Raw genomic sequence first — 14,778 nt, 5'->3', positions numbered from 1 at the left:
ACTTCAATGCTGCAGTGAGCTGTGATTTCACCCTTGCATTCCAGCCTGTGAAATAAAGGAGACCCCATCTCTAAGAAAAAGAAAAAGAAATAAATATATAAAATTACTTCCCTGTTACTCTATTTTCCATCACATTCTTTGCTTCTATTATTCCACTTAATACTTGTGTGTGAGTGTGTGTGTGTGTCTGTCTGGGTGCGTGTTTGGTCTCTCTTCTATTTTGCGAAGTTTCACGTTTGTATTGTTAGCATACCACTAGGATGTTGTATACTGTTGGTCCTCAATCATTTTTTGCTGAAAAAAATAAAGAGATGACTCAATAGAATAATATATGAAAAGCAGTAAGCTAGCCTAGAAAAGTAATCAGGGTCAGGTTGCATTAGACTCTGAAAGTCAAGCCAAAGAGTTGAGACTTTATCACATAGCTAATGTTGGGAGCCCAGACATCAAATGATCAGAGTTGTACTCCAGAAAATTAATCTTGTAGCTTTTTAACCTGTAATAAAAGCGAAAGAGGGAGAAGTTAGATGACTCAGAGGAATATTATTTCACTATTTCAGGTCCGAAAGACCTGATGTGAGTGACGACTGTGGCAGTAGAAATGCAAAGGGAAGTACAAATAAAGGCATACATAGAAAGGATAGCAATTAAGGAAAGAGAGACATGGAGAGGAGTCAAATGGAATGAGACTGTGAGGCTGGTTACCTGGAATAATAGGAATACTACTAACAGAAGTCAGAAGCTAGTTGCTTGGTGGTTTGGGGGAAGGATAGGATGAATTCCAGCTTTGACATACTGACCAGATATTCAAGGGGGATGATTCAAGGGGGATGTGTTCCCCTCACTGTTGCAAATGCAAGAAGGGACTGAGCACATATTTGGAGCTATAGATTTCTCCTCCTGAAGGCAGAAGAGGAGGAGGAGACTGAAGTTATAGAAGAGGATAAAAATAATAAAGAAGAAGAAAAAGCAAGGAATAAGCCCAAAATTATTGTTAAATGTGGTAATGAGATTGGATTTTATGCTAAATATAGTACAGTGAGAAACTATTGATAGTTTTTAAACAAAGGCATAATGTGATTTGATTTGCATTTTTAAAAGATGACTTTGGATGCCATAGAGAAAGTGCATTTAAGGTCAAGTAATTTCCAGTCCCAAAGATGAATCCATAATCCATGATTCCTCGCTCTTGGCATAGTCTAGTTTATCAAGGTCTTCTGTCTAGACCTTTACAACAAAAGAAAACCCTACCATTAAGAACTGAAAAGAAGAGCATAAGATAGCAAGGGAAAGAGAAAAAGGTTAGTGAAATAAGATCGTTAGTCCATGTCACAGCTGTAGAAATTAAGGCTAAGACAATTAAGTAGTGGGAGAGAGGTGGCAATGCTGAAAACCAAATATGCCATCTGCATTCTGTGCTCTTAATGACTGTGCTATACTCTCTTCTGGTGGGTTCAGTATATCTTGTTCAAGAAGTTGCAGTGACCAGAATTTCTTGGGGTATTGCATGTGATAGGTAAGAACTTGGAAGCTACGTGTGTTCAGAACAGAAAGAACCTCTTTGACCTATATTGGACCAAAGAGATTAGATAATTTGTCCAAGGTCACAAAAGCACTTAGAGTTAGAGCTGGACACACAGACCAGGCCTCCTGAGTCCCACAGGGCAGAGTGATATTCCCATTCTACCATGTAGCCTCTTTCTATGCTGATACTTAACAAGATCTTAAGTTAACCATTAGACTTGGAAGTAAAAACTAAATTGTGGAGTCACAACTTCTACATATGTCTCGGGTCATGTTACTTATTACTACAGGTACAAAATAGCATGCATGTGAGGAGAATCGGCACCAATAATGCACATTGACAAAAGAACATCCTCATTTTGTAGGAAATCATGTCATCCTACTTGAAGTGTGGCTCAAGAAAAAAAAAATGAGATGGATACTCCTCAGCAGCCTCCAAATAAGAAATACCTTGCACACTAATTTCCATTGTGCAGAACCTAGAAAGTAACTTAAAGAGTGAGTCAAGAGTCAGACAAATATTTTTTCTGAGGTTGAGTATCACTTACCTTTAATCATCATATATTCAGCCTTACACTTTGTTCTTACAGTTTTTGCCTAGCCGTGACATATACATGAATGGCAAATTCAAATAAGGATATTGATGCACAATGGAAATTAGTGTGCAAGGTAGTTCTTATTTGGAGACTGCTGAGGAGTATTCATCTAATTGTTTTTCTTCAGCCACACTTCAAGTAGGATGACATGATTTCCTATAAAATGAGGATGTTCTTTTACCAATGTGCAATATTGGTTCCTGTTCTCCTCACATGCACGCTATTTTGTACCTGTAGTAATAAGTAACATGATCCGAGACATATGTAGAAGTTGTGACTCCAGAATTTAGTTTTTACTTCCAAGTCTAATGGTTAGCTTTATCTTTCAACTTTTATACTGAAATCAAGAAACAGACTGTTTACATGCATTGGTTTATACTGGCTTGCCTTCACAGATCAGAGAGTGTTGAACCATAGACTCAAGTTCTATATAACAAGTCACAGAACATCCAGGTGACGGACTCATACAGCTCATACCTGATTTAGTTCTACTTGTATATTCACAGTAAAAATACTCGCCTTTTAATCTTCAGGGTCACTTCTGCTTCTCAAGTATCAGTTCAATGTTATTTTGTCTCCCAGTATCATCTGATTGTATTTTCTGCAGTTGTTGTTACTTGTAGTTATCTAAATACCCTTCATGTTGCCAAAGAAATGACTTCATTTTGTTTCAGCAACTATTACAAATAAAATCAACTGTATCATAATGAGTCTTAAAGCCCTAGTTAGCACTCTTCTAACAACCTTTCAAAGGTAGATCAGCATTAAAGATGTATTACGGGGATCTCATAAAAGTTAAATATATTTCCTAAGAACCTTAGCTGAATTAGGGGCAAAGCCAGAAAAAAAGAATTATTACCTCTCCTTTAGCCTTTAGGCCATGTTATAAGAACCGACACCCCATCAAACAACTTCATAAATGTGAAGAACCTAATTAGAAAATTAATTTCCAATTATGCATAAAGAACAAAGTATGCTAAATGAGGAAGGGACCACAGCAGGGAAAGTCAAAGCAAAGTGGAAATTCTTTCAGTTTCCTATAGAAGACTAAAGATATTGAGACCCAGGGAATGCAGCTTATTTTATGGAAAAAGACCCTGTGGCTTTATTTCTCTGGCCTTGGGAACTGACATTTTTACTTACAGAAGGTCAGGAAGTTCTAAAACTCTTTGAGGTACAGGCTGTCTATCTTCCAAAGTGGAGGTGGGAAGAGTGAAGCAACCACAATAACCACTTTATCAATCATTCTTTTCAATAAGTAATTCCAGAGTCTCAATGTTTGCATGCTTTATCTATATGGCTCAATTTCCATTTGAAAAACTAGAAAACATACATGCATAAGAATGCATATTTTATCTTTGAAATACTGAGCAGTACTCTGTTGCCAGAGACTTTGATATGAATCTACTACTTATAGGAGGAGGACAGGGGATTCACATATAAGAGGATCAAATATATCACATTTGCTTAGATACCTAATACATTGTTAGCACCCTCAAGGCACACAATGATGACAGTCTGAGTAACTAATGGACTCCTCAAAAACACATCCATATCACTCCTGTCTGTGTTTTCCAAGGGAACAGTCCCATTACAGCACCGCTTTAAATGGGTTTCATGTGCAATTAAAATGAAAATGCCATAATAGGCCATGACATAAGAAAAAAAGACAGTCTCAAAAGACTTCTGTGTGTGTGTGTGTTTTTCTTTTTCTGAGCACTGAAAATTATCTCTTTGTCAGCCCTGTGGTATGGTCACAGTGCAAGCGCCTTAGACTAGGGGAACGTGTTCATTAGGAGAATTCCATTACTAGGCAAGGTGTCAGGTGTGTAGCCTTGTTTGGAAGAGAAAAGAATGCTGAGTTCTCCAGCACCACCTGCCCATCAAACTCCTGAAGCATTTTGCAGCCTTTAAGGTCAACTTGGAGGATGTTAACTTGCACCAGCAAAGGCAAGGCAGGAGATTTGACTTCTAGCCCACTAATTTAATATAGTGCCTTACAAATCAAGGTTGTGTTGCAAGAGATGGTAGCACTACTCAGGTGTTGCTCAGAAAAAGTTCATGGTAGCATTAATCAGGTGTTGCTCAGAAAAGAGAGGTGGTGGTTTCAAATTAAGACCTAAAGAGGGAATTATTAAGCTACATACTCTTTGTGGTGTGACAGATGTTTTAACAATCTAATCCTAAAAGTCATCATTTCACTACCAATGAAACCACAGAGCTCTGAAGAGAAAAGAAGTCTGCTGCATCAGGATGGTACCATGGTAGCACAAGAGGATCAAAATCTGGGCCGCTACTAGGGAGGGGCCACAGACCGAGCCCTTCTCATTTGCCTGAGATGCTTCAGAAAGTTGCCTGAAAGTTCCTCAGAACAAAGTACAGGCATTTTGAGAACAGAGCCTTCAAACTGTTTCCTAGTCCCTCAAACCAATTTTGACTAGTAATTAACTGATTCCCAACATCAAAAGGTGAGATATCCCAGGAGGAGTCAAGGGAGATCAAAGCCTGTGGTGAAGGGTCCCCCTGCACCTCTTCCACCCTCCGCCCTCTTTCTCAGACAGACATCCATCCGACTGCAGCAAGAGAACAGTCGCATCGCTTCTCCCTGGAGACTGACATCAAACAGACTTCCAAATAACTTGCTGGAGTTTCCAGGCCCTGTTAGGAGAAAATGAGGAAGGTACGGGTACGTGACCATATGGTCCAGATTTTCTAGGATGATCTAGGTTTCTAATATTCAGTCCTGTTGTCCCCATCACTGGAACAGATCCCCAAACAGGGTCACTGTGGTAAAGAAAAACTGAGCAGTGCCTGACATATAGTGAGCAAAAGATAATTCCCTTCTTTTGCATATCAACAAATAGTAGAATTCCTAATTATTATATTTTTAAAAATATGTTTTCTGTGTGTATACTTTTTGTAATATAAAAAGAAAAAGCATTACACACTGGCTTTGCATAATGATAAACACCCATGTGTATTTGTCGAAGCCTTTGTCTAAGCCAGGTGCTGGGCATAAGCCTGACAAAGCTGGTCAGTCTCTGTGCAGAATGGGTCATTTCCCATGATGCTCTTACTAAGGCATTTTAATATGACATTCAAAAATGCACTTGATTAGTTCGGCTCACCATGCTTTCATCTATACCACTGCTTGGCTTCCGTGTTTTTCAACAAAGGTATTTGCACATAGGGATACATCGTAGCAAGTCCTGAGGATTGCTTTTTGGACAGAGAAAATCTGTACCCAAAGCTTTTACAGAGCTTGTGCCCCAGGCACTCTTTGAAACAAAACTTCAGGGCGACTTGCAGTGAAACTGTACCGAAAGATTGAACGTAGGAGATAAGTGAGAGGGAAAGTCAAGACAAGGCCAAAGTTTCTAAATTGGGAAGGGTTCTGCCAGTGTCTTGAGCTCAAACTATCTAAAACTGAACTTACAAGCACCTCCTACAGATGGGGGTCAGATCATGGGGCACCTCCAGGGCAGTCGTGCATTATTAATTTCCCTGTTCCTTGAGAATGTTTGCCCCTTGTGAAATAATTCAGTAAATGCTGAATGAATTCAGCACCTTCCCTTCGCAACATCCTCCTTTTCTTTTTTTTTGAGACTAAGTCTCTCTCTGTTGCCCGGGCTGGAGAGCAATGGCGCGATCTCGGCTCACTGCAACCTCTGCCTCCCGGGTTCAAGTGATTCTCCTGCCTCAGCCTCTCGAGTAGGTGGGACTACAGGCACTCACCACCACGCCCGGCTAATTTTTGTATTTTTAGTAGAGACGGGGTTTCACCATGTTGGTCAGGCTTATCTCGAACTCCCGACCTCAGGTGATGCACCTGCCTCAGCCTCCCAAAGTTCTGGGATTTACAGGCTTGAGCCACTGCGCCCGGCCATCCTCGTTTTCTTATGGTCCTGCTTTGTCAGTGGAGTCATCGTTCTCAACAGTCTCTGTCAATGGCTATTTTCTTGGATCTTTAACCCCACCGTGGATCCATCAACTCCACCAGCCTTCCCTCTGTCTGGTCGTTTCCAATGCTATTGTGCTAATACCTATATTTATGTCTCTTCTGCAGTCTACTTCTACCGTAATGTCTTAGGACTGGTTTCCTTATTCCAAGCCACCTTACATAGCATCATCAGAGTCATTTAAAGTCCCATCTTTGGTATTATCACGCCTCAACTCCTGGAACCCATGAGAGTTCCAAATTACCTACAAGAAATAAACAAGGTAGAGGAATTGTCCCACATCTCCAAAACCTATCCGGGTATTTAATGGCTTTTCAATTGCTGCGTTCTCTCCTTTCAACTGCGAACAACTGTTATCCTGCTTTAGAATTTGACCCAAACTTTCAGAAAAGATGGAAGGAGCAATTGGCTTGAGTTGAATTATAGCTGCGTCCTTTTCATGAGCCATCTGGCTTGCCGTAGTCTTTCCACTCCCAATTATACGCCTAATGCTGGGGTTGAATGTCTATGACTTTTAAAACTGTACTTGTGCTATTATTTTTCATTTGATAAGATGGGGGGACATATGGAATTCTCCCTATGTCCCCGGGTTGCTATCACAGCCAGTCTGGTTCACGCATTGATATTACCTGCCTAGCTGAATTTGTGTCTCTTGCCCCGTAGCGTTTGTCCAACTGAAGCAAAGCAGGATCGCCACCAAGAAAAAATTAGTCCCAACAACACCTTTTAGTACCAATTGTCTCATATTCCGAGGTTCAGCTTGGTTTCCTCAGAACTACCTCTTATATTTTTATATTTCTCTTTCCTTTTGGTATTTTAATGGAAATAACCGTATTTCCACAGTATTTAATAACATCTTTCATAAGTAAGCCAGTGCTTCAATAATGACCCATTTCACTGATACCATCAGAAAATAATACCCAAGGATAATAACACAAACCTTTTGCAGAAAAGAATAGTTACACAGTGAAACCCATTACCTGGAGTGACACAGGAAAGGATTTTTGTTGTTTTTCATATATATAAGAAAACAACATATATATATATATATATATATATATATATGAAAACAACATATATATATATATGAAAACAACATATATATATATGAAAACAACATATATATATAAAAACATATATATGCACATATATATGTGTGTGTGTATATATATATGTTGTGTTGGAGCAAGAGACACAAATTCAGGTGTGTACTGGAGCTAGGTGGGTAATATAAAGTGAACTAAGCTGGCTGTGACAGCAATCTGGGGACCTGGAGAGAATTCCATATTTATTCTCATTTTATTATAAGAAAAATAATAGCACAAGTGTAGTTTAAAAAGTAATAGACACTCAAGCCCAGCATTAGGCATATAATTAGGATTGGAAGAACTATGTTGTAATATATGCATTACATATACATATATAGGTGTGTGTATATATTTGCCTTTTGTTTTTCCTTTTACATATAGCTCCTTCAGAAATAACCTTTGTGAAAAGATAAAGATATCAAGGTTTGACTTTTTGACCTTTCCTTCTCCAAACTAACATTGATAGCATACTGTGAAACTCTTATTTACTGGATAACATCCACTGAAAGTCTTACGAAAAAGCATCCTTTAAAAGTGCTGTTGTCTATTTCCCTTTAATCCTTCATGTTTACTGAAAAAAAAAAAAAAGGAAAAACTAGAAAGAACAAATTCTCTGCTTTCTAAATTATATGTCCCTGACAAAGGGAAAGGAACACACAAGTGTTTCCTGTAAAGAACACGAAAGAAGCCTCCGAGATTGAGGGGGATTTTCTGGTGGATTTCCAAACTGGATTTTATTTTTGCTTGCTATGAGTCCCTGTGGCAACTCCACACCTTTCCTCCTCCACCCTTCCTTTGCGTTTGAACATTGCTTTTTCCTCACTTCTAGCACCTGTTTCCATCCCAACAAGCAATTTGCACTGATTCCTCCTTCACCCGGTCATGAGTCATTATAAGAGATTGGGAAAATGAAAATTTGATTGTGCTCGAGAAAAGACACCTGATGTTAGAATGTACTTCTCATCCTTTAGATTAATAGACTAAGTCCTAAGAGGTCACTTGACTTGTTAGTGTACAGTCATGCACCACATAATAATGCTTCAGTCAACTTCAGACCCCATGTATGACAGTAATCCCATGAAATTATAATACTATATTTTTACTGTACCTTTTCTGTGTTCAGATACAGAAATACTTCCCATTGTGTTTCAATTGCCTCCAGTATTCAGTACAATAACATAATAACATGCTGTACAGGTGTGCAGCCTAGGCTATCCCATACAGCCTAGGTGTGTAGTAGGCTATACCAGCTGGATACATGTAAGTACACTCGCATATTCCCACAATGATGAAATCACCAAATGACACATTTCTCAGAACATATTCTTGATGTTGAAAGATGCATGACTGTACGTCACTGAGTACCAGCAGGAGTGAAAGGGACAGGTCTTGTGCCTGTCATTTTGAAAGACAGTTTAGTATGATTGTTAAGAACCTGGGCTGTAAGATTACACAGAGCTAGACTTAAGTCCTGGCTCTGACACTCAGTTTTGTGATTTTGGACAAGTTACTTGACCTCTTTGAGCCTCAGTTTGTTCATCTGCCATATGGGAACAATGGTAGAAGCTATGTCATGAGGCGTTTATCTTATTCCAGCCTCGTAATGTCTGTAGCAGAGTGCCTGATACAAAATAGTAGCTACCATTTACTGAGTGCATGTCACCACCTTTACTATTATTGTTTTGTCATTACAAATCCACCTACTGACTCTTTTTCAACACTCTGGAATTGCTTGAGTCTTGAAATCCACACCATCCTTGGAAGGACTTCTCTCATCCCAGGGAAAGAAAGAAACATTTGCTACACTTAGAAGAGAAATTGGGAAAAGAGAAAAAGCCACATGTTATGTGAGAATAACAAGGGACTCAGGTTGCAAAGCACATTTATGCTGCTTCAGGAATTTCATGTGAAACACCTATTACCAAGTTTGTTTAATTTGCTTAGTTAATAAACTTTATAGGACCCATTTTTATTCAACATGTGTACTGGAAGCTTTTTTAATGTAATTTCTGAGTCCACAGTGGCATGCTTTCCCTGAACATTTATGACATTCCACAACTCAACTTCCAAAGAAGCCCATTATGAAAATAAATGGATCCAGGTGGATAATTTGAGAGGGTAACTATATTGCATGCAGCAAAGACAATATGTAAATATTGCAGCAATCCTTCTGATACAATATTAGAATATGAAAAAAATGAAATCAGCAAAACTATGCGATACTGAATTAATTTACTTCCAAATATTAAAAGTAATGAAGCTCCTACTTATTTTCAGATTCCTATGACTCATCTCAATACTATGATAATTTTTAACTCAATTGCATTACTTAACACGTATTTGCATCATAGCACCCTCCAAATGAATGCCTAGAACTTTGTTTTTTAACCACAGTTGGCCAGAAATTGCTTTTATATTTCCACCATTTAGGGTTCGAATAATCTATTGTGAAATTATTATTTCTAAGTGATGTAGGGAAGCCAACATTGACTTGTTTTCTTCACAAGATGAACAAATGAATGAGAAAGAAAGTGTAATCAGGCAAGTGTTCCTGTGTGATCCAGAGAACAAAACTTGACTCTGAATCTGGATCTTAGTCTTCACTGGAAATGTGTTACCCTTCAGTTTTTATAGAGGTATAAATAAATATTCATTTATTTATAGCCTTTTTTATTTTTAACAGAAGCAGTTGGAATATTATTCAGCAGTGGAAAAAAAATGAACCACTGACGCAGGCTACATCATGTTTAAACCACAAAAAAGATTACACCAAGTGAAATAATCTAGACACAAGCGACCGCATACTGCATGATTCCACTGGTAGGAAATATCCAGAAACGGCAAATTCCAGAAACGGCAAATTTATAGAGACAGGAAACAGATTAGTCATTGCCTAGGGCGGGGTGTGGGAATGAAGATTAACTATAAATGGTCATGAAGGATCTTACTGGGGGGACAAAAATGTTCTAAAACTGATTTGTGGTTATGGCATTTCAGTAAAGTTACCAAAAATCATTGAATTCTACCCTCAGATGGACAATTTTATGACATACAAAATATACCTCTATAAAACTGTTAGAAAACCCAGGAGCTGTAATTAATACATAGATGATTTAACAATAATTCCAGGGCAGGCTGTTTGAGAGAAGCTTTCTGCTGTGGTGTCATTACAAAGTCACATCCCCTTTGCAGTGAGCGGTGGGAACATCCGCTGAGCACTGTGGCATTGCTGTGTCCTGTGATTTACATGTAGGGGCAATTTCCAACACCCTCGTCCAAAGAAGACATGATCCCTGCACTGTTCCCCTTTCTCACATACTATATCCACACAAACATGCTAAGGGGGGCTTGGTGTCTATGCAGAAACTTAGCATGCACATGCAAATGATATCAAGATTAGTCCTTAATTTCTTCTCTGAGTTCACTGAGTTAAGCCAAGCATTGCATTTCCTCCACTGAAGAATTCTGTATGTCCAATCCTTTTACAATTCTACTACACTTTTTCTTTCTCTCTTAAGTCTTTTAAGCTCTGCTATGATGCTTGTATTATACTTCACAAGAATGATAAGAAACAATGGCTTCACATCGTATAGGTAATAAAGGCTCACAATAGATTCAGTTTAGTGCGCATGAGTGTGTGTGTGTATAAAAAAACAAATGTATATGTTTGTGTGTAGGAAGATGAGGAGGAGGAGTGAAAAGGAGTCTACTTGTGTGTCACATATATCTTTGGGATAGCTACTTAAGACTTTCTGTCAACTGTGTTCTGTTGTCTCAGCAGAACAGGGCTCATTTTGTAAATACCATCTATGCTGACACTTAAGTTGCTATATGTTGAGATCATGTCTCTCTTCTCACATTCATTGTCTCCTTCTCATTCCCTGAATACCTGATATTTCAGAAAAATGGAGAGTAAGCAAAGAGAAAAAGCCTTAAAGAGAACTATTTGCTGCTTTTTACCTAAAGGAGGATGAAAATGGGAAGCCACCAGTAAGTGAGTGTTTATATATATATATACATATTTTTTTTTTTTTTTTGAGACAGCGTCTCACTCTGTTGCCCAGGCTGGAGTGCAGTGGCATGATCTTGGCTCACTGCAACCTCCGCCTCCTGGGTTCAAGCGAATCTCCTGCCTCAGCCTCCAGAGTAGCTAGGATTACAGGCACGCACCACCATGCCTGGCTAATTTTTGTATTTTTAGTAGAAACGGGGTTTCACCATGTTGGTCAGGCTGGTCTCGAACTCCTGACCTCATGATTCGCCCACCTCGGCATCCCAAAGTGCTAGGATTACAGGCATGAGCCACCACGCTCTGCCGTGAGTGTTATTTTTGTGCCAGGCATGGTGGTATGTTAGTGGGTCCTTTAGATGCATTTTTATTTAGTCTTTGCAACAATTCTCTGAAGCAGGTTTTATAATTCCCTTTTTACTGACGAGGAAGCTGAAGCTCAGAGAAAGTTAACTAACTAGCCCAGGTTCAGTGAGTTCTAAGTGAAGTGGACAGATTTGACTCTAATACCTATTTGTTTCATGATTAAAATTGATTTTGATGCTCAGTAACTTTTACTGTCTTTGTAAGATTTAGTAAGCCATTACAGCCGTACATTCTGTTCCCTTGTCAATTCCAGAAGGATTGTTTGAGAAATGCAACAAGAATTCTGGGAGAAAACACCAGTGACCATCTTTTCACAAAAACCAAATGTGGTTTTTGCTGTTGTTTTTCCTGAACCATCTTGATAAGTTCCTTACTTCCTCACTGAACTGCCTAATTAGAAGGAGTGTCTTTGTAATTATAATGACCTCCTTCTGCAATCAGCCATGATATATAGGTGATAAATTATTGGTCTCCCATCTCATTATAGATAACTACTCCCCGTGGTTTATTTGGTTCTGCGAGCCTTCTGCCATGAAAATAAGTAGGCGACACGTATTGATGCAATTTTAATTTTTTAGATTTTGAGGCAGTATTAACTTTTAGGTTTTGCAATGAACTTCTATAAACATGCATGGACACAGTAAGGCTTCATTAATTACAAAAGTTATTTTGTTTGCCTTATTCAATCATATAAGGCAAAAGTTCTCAAACTTGAGTGGGCATCAGAATTCCCTGGAGGGCTTGATAAAACACGGATTGTTTAGCTGACTCCTAGGGTTTCCACTTCAGCAGGTCTGAGGTCGGTCAGGATTTTTGCATTTTTGACAAGTTTTCAGGTGGTGGTGATATGCTGATGTGAGGACCACTCTTTGAGAACCACTAAGCTTAAGAGAAAGATATATATATATATATATATATATATATATATATATATATATATATGGATATATATATATATATGGATATATATATTTCTATTTCTATTTTTGTTTCTATTTCTCTATAGGTAACACTGCCTTATGTGATATCTATGGAATTTCAGTGTCAGAATCTATTTAAAAGTGTACGTAACAAGAATTAATTTCTGCTTTATACTGTGTTACTAAGTGGTATCCGGGTCTTAATTATTATCATTGCAAGGTATATATTTCCAGTTTACCAAATAATTTTTTTTTTTTTTTTTGAGATGGAGTTTCGCTCTCGTTTACCCAGGCTGAAGTGCAGTGGTATGATCTCGGCTCACTGCAACCTCCACGTCATGGGTTTAAGCAATTCTCCTGCCTCAGCCTCCCGAGTAGCTGGAATTACAGGCATGTGCCACCACACCTGGCTAATTTTGTATTTTTAGTTAGAGGCAGGGTTTTGCCATGTTGGCCAGGCTGGTCTTGAACTCCTGACCTCAGGTGATCCACCTGCCTCGGCCTCCCAAAGTGCTGGGATTACAGGCATGAACCACCGCGCCCGGCCATACCAAGCAAATCTGCAATTTGTTTTGTTACTTCGTTCTCACAATCACTTGCCTGGTGGGGCACAGCTAGTATATGACTACTATCCATATTAGAAACGAGATAACCAAAGTCCGGGGAGGTTACGTGACTTGTCCATATAGCTAGAAAGAATTGAAGTTGGTAGGGTTTTGATTCTCAAAATCTTTAAATAGTGCCCAAGTACATATTGTGTGTAAACATATATCTCAACAACCACAACCAGACAGATTGAAAAAAAGTGAAGGCAGGCAGCAGGATGACCAGTGCATTGGACCAGGAGTCAGGAAGCTTGGGACATAATTTCCTAGAACTGCACTATCAGGCTGTGTCATTTTGGTGACAAATCATAGATGCAAATATATGTCAGTTTACTCATCTATAAACTGAGTGGTAGATCAGACAGCTGACATTCCTTCCTGCTCCAGCTATCCATTCAACAAATCATTCATTGTAAAAATATTCATTAAGAATTTACCATGTACCAGGCACTGTTTTAGGAAAACAGTGAAGCTTAGAGTCTAGGTGTAAGAAAGAGGAGTGAATAAACCAACTAGCTCATTTAAGAGAGTGATGGGTTTTTTTTAAAACAATAAGATTGGGTGAGATGATAGAGAATGGCTGGCTAAAGCTCTATTGCAGCTAAAAGTCAAGGTTTTCCCTGATGAAGTGATATCTGAGTGGACCCCTTTTTGATGATAAAAGGGAGCCATCTACATAAAATGATGGGAAAAGGATATTCCAGGCATAACTGTCCTAAGTTCAAAGACCCTATGATATAAACCAGCTTGGCCTTTTTGTGAAGCAGGAAGAAGGTCAGTATTCTGAAGCCAATTGTGTAGCAAGTGGTAAGAGACAAAGTCAGAATGGTATTTGAAAGCCATGATAAGAACTCGGAGTTCTTTAAGCAGGGAATGACATGACCTGATTTAGGCTAAGATGACTCATTTGCTTCATGGGTATTGAATAAGTGTATAAGAAATGAGCATACACACACATAAAATCCTATTCCAAAAATTTTGACCTTTAAATGAATGTTTTCTCCTGGTTTATTTAGCATATGAATAAGGAAATACAAATTAATACACCAGCCAAAATTGTGTCTTCACCATTGATACTTTAAGGATATTACTAAGTATTATAAACATGGGCAACTCAAATAATAATTAGGAGGAAAATCATATGGAAATTACTAACAAACTCATTAGAGTGTGCTTAATTATTGCAGTGAAGGGTTAGCAAGAGGATTGGAGCTTACCGAATAAATCTGTTTGCACATGGATTGATATGCTTGTATCATAATTACTCACAGCTGTTGGACTTTCTAAGTTTATTAGGAACTTAATTCCAAAACTTTCATGCTGAAAAGATTTTCTGAGAGACAAGTGTTAGCCCAGTGCCAGTGATGTGAGCAAGGAGTATTTTTCTAGCAATTCTTTTCAGCGATTACTTAGAGTAACTACAGATCTCCTCATTATACATAATGAAGTGGATCTGCTCATTTTTGATTTTCACACACTTTGCAGAAAGAGCAAAGCCTCCTGATTGAAACTGCTTGAGTCCTGTGATGAGAAGTTGTGTGTAATATGTATTCCAATTACAAAACGATCTCAGAGAAAAGGCTTGATGCCTGATGTATTCATTTGAAAGCAATTCGTGGCTAAATTGATCTTTAAATAATCTATCTATATGCTTGTTAATTTAATAGATCAACTGACATCAGGGGAATACAGGAATGCTTCATCCTTCACA

The 14,778-nt window shown here is 38.5% G+C and overlaps 1 protein-coding gene across 13 annotated transcripts in view; it reads right to left on the bottom strand.

Moving 5' to 3' along the window:
* The window catches only part of TENM2 (teneurin transmembrane protein 2), a 1,285,129-nt gene that overhangs the window by 610,813 nt on the left and 659,538 nt on the right, over window positions 1-14,778 (bottom strand). The gene's annotated exons all lie outside the window — the stretch shown is intronic.

Source organism: Homo sapiens, chromosome 5, assembly GCF_000001405.40.
Source record: "Homo sapiens chromosome 5, GRCh38.p14 Primary Assembly".
NCBI classification, from domain to species: Eukaryota; Metazoa; Chordata; class Mammalia; order Primates; family Hominidae; genus Homo; species Homo sapiens.
Note: the sequence above shows the minus strand (reverse complement) of the source record. Positions and strands in the feature narration are given on the sequence as shown.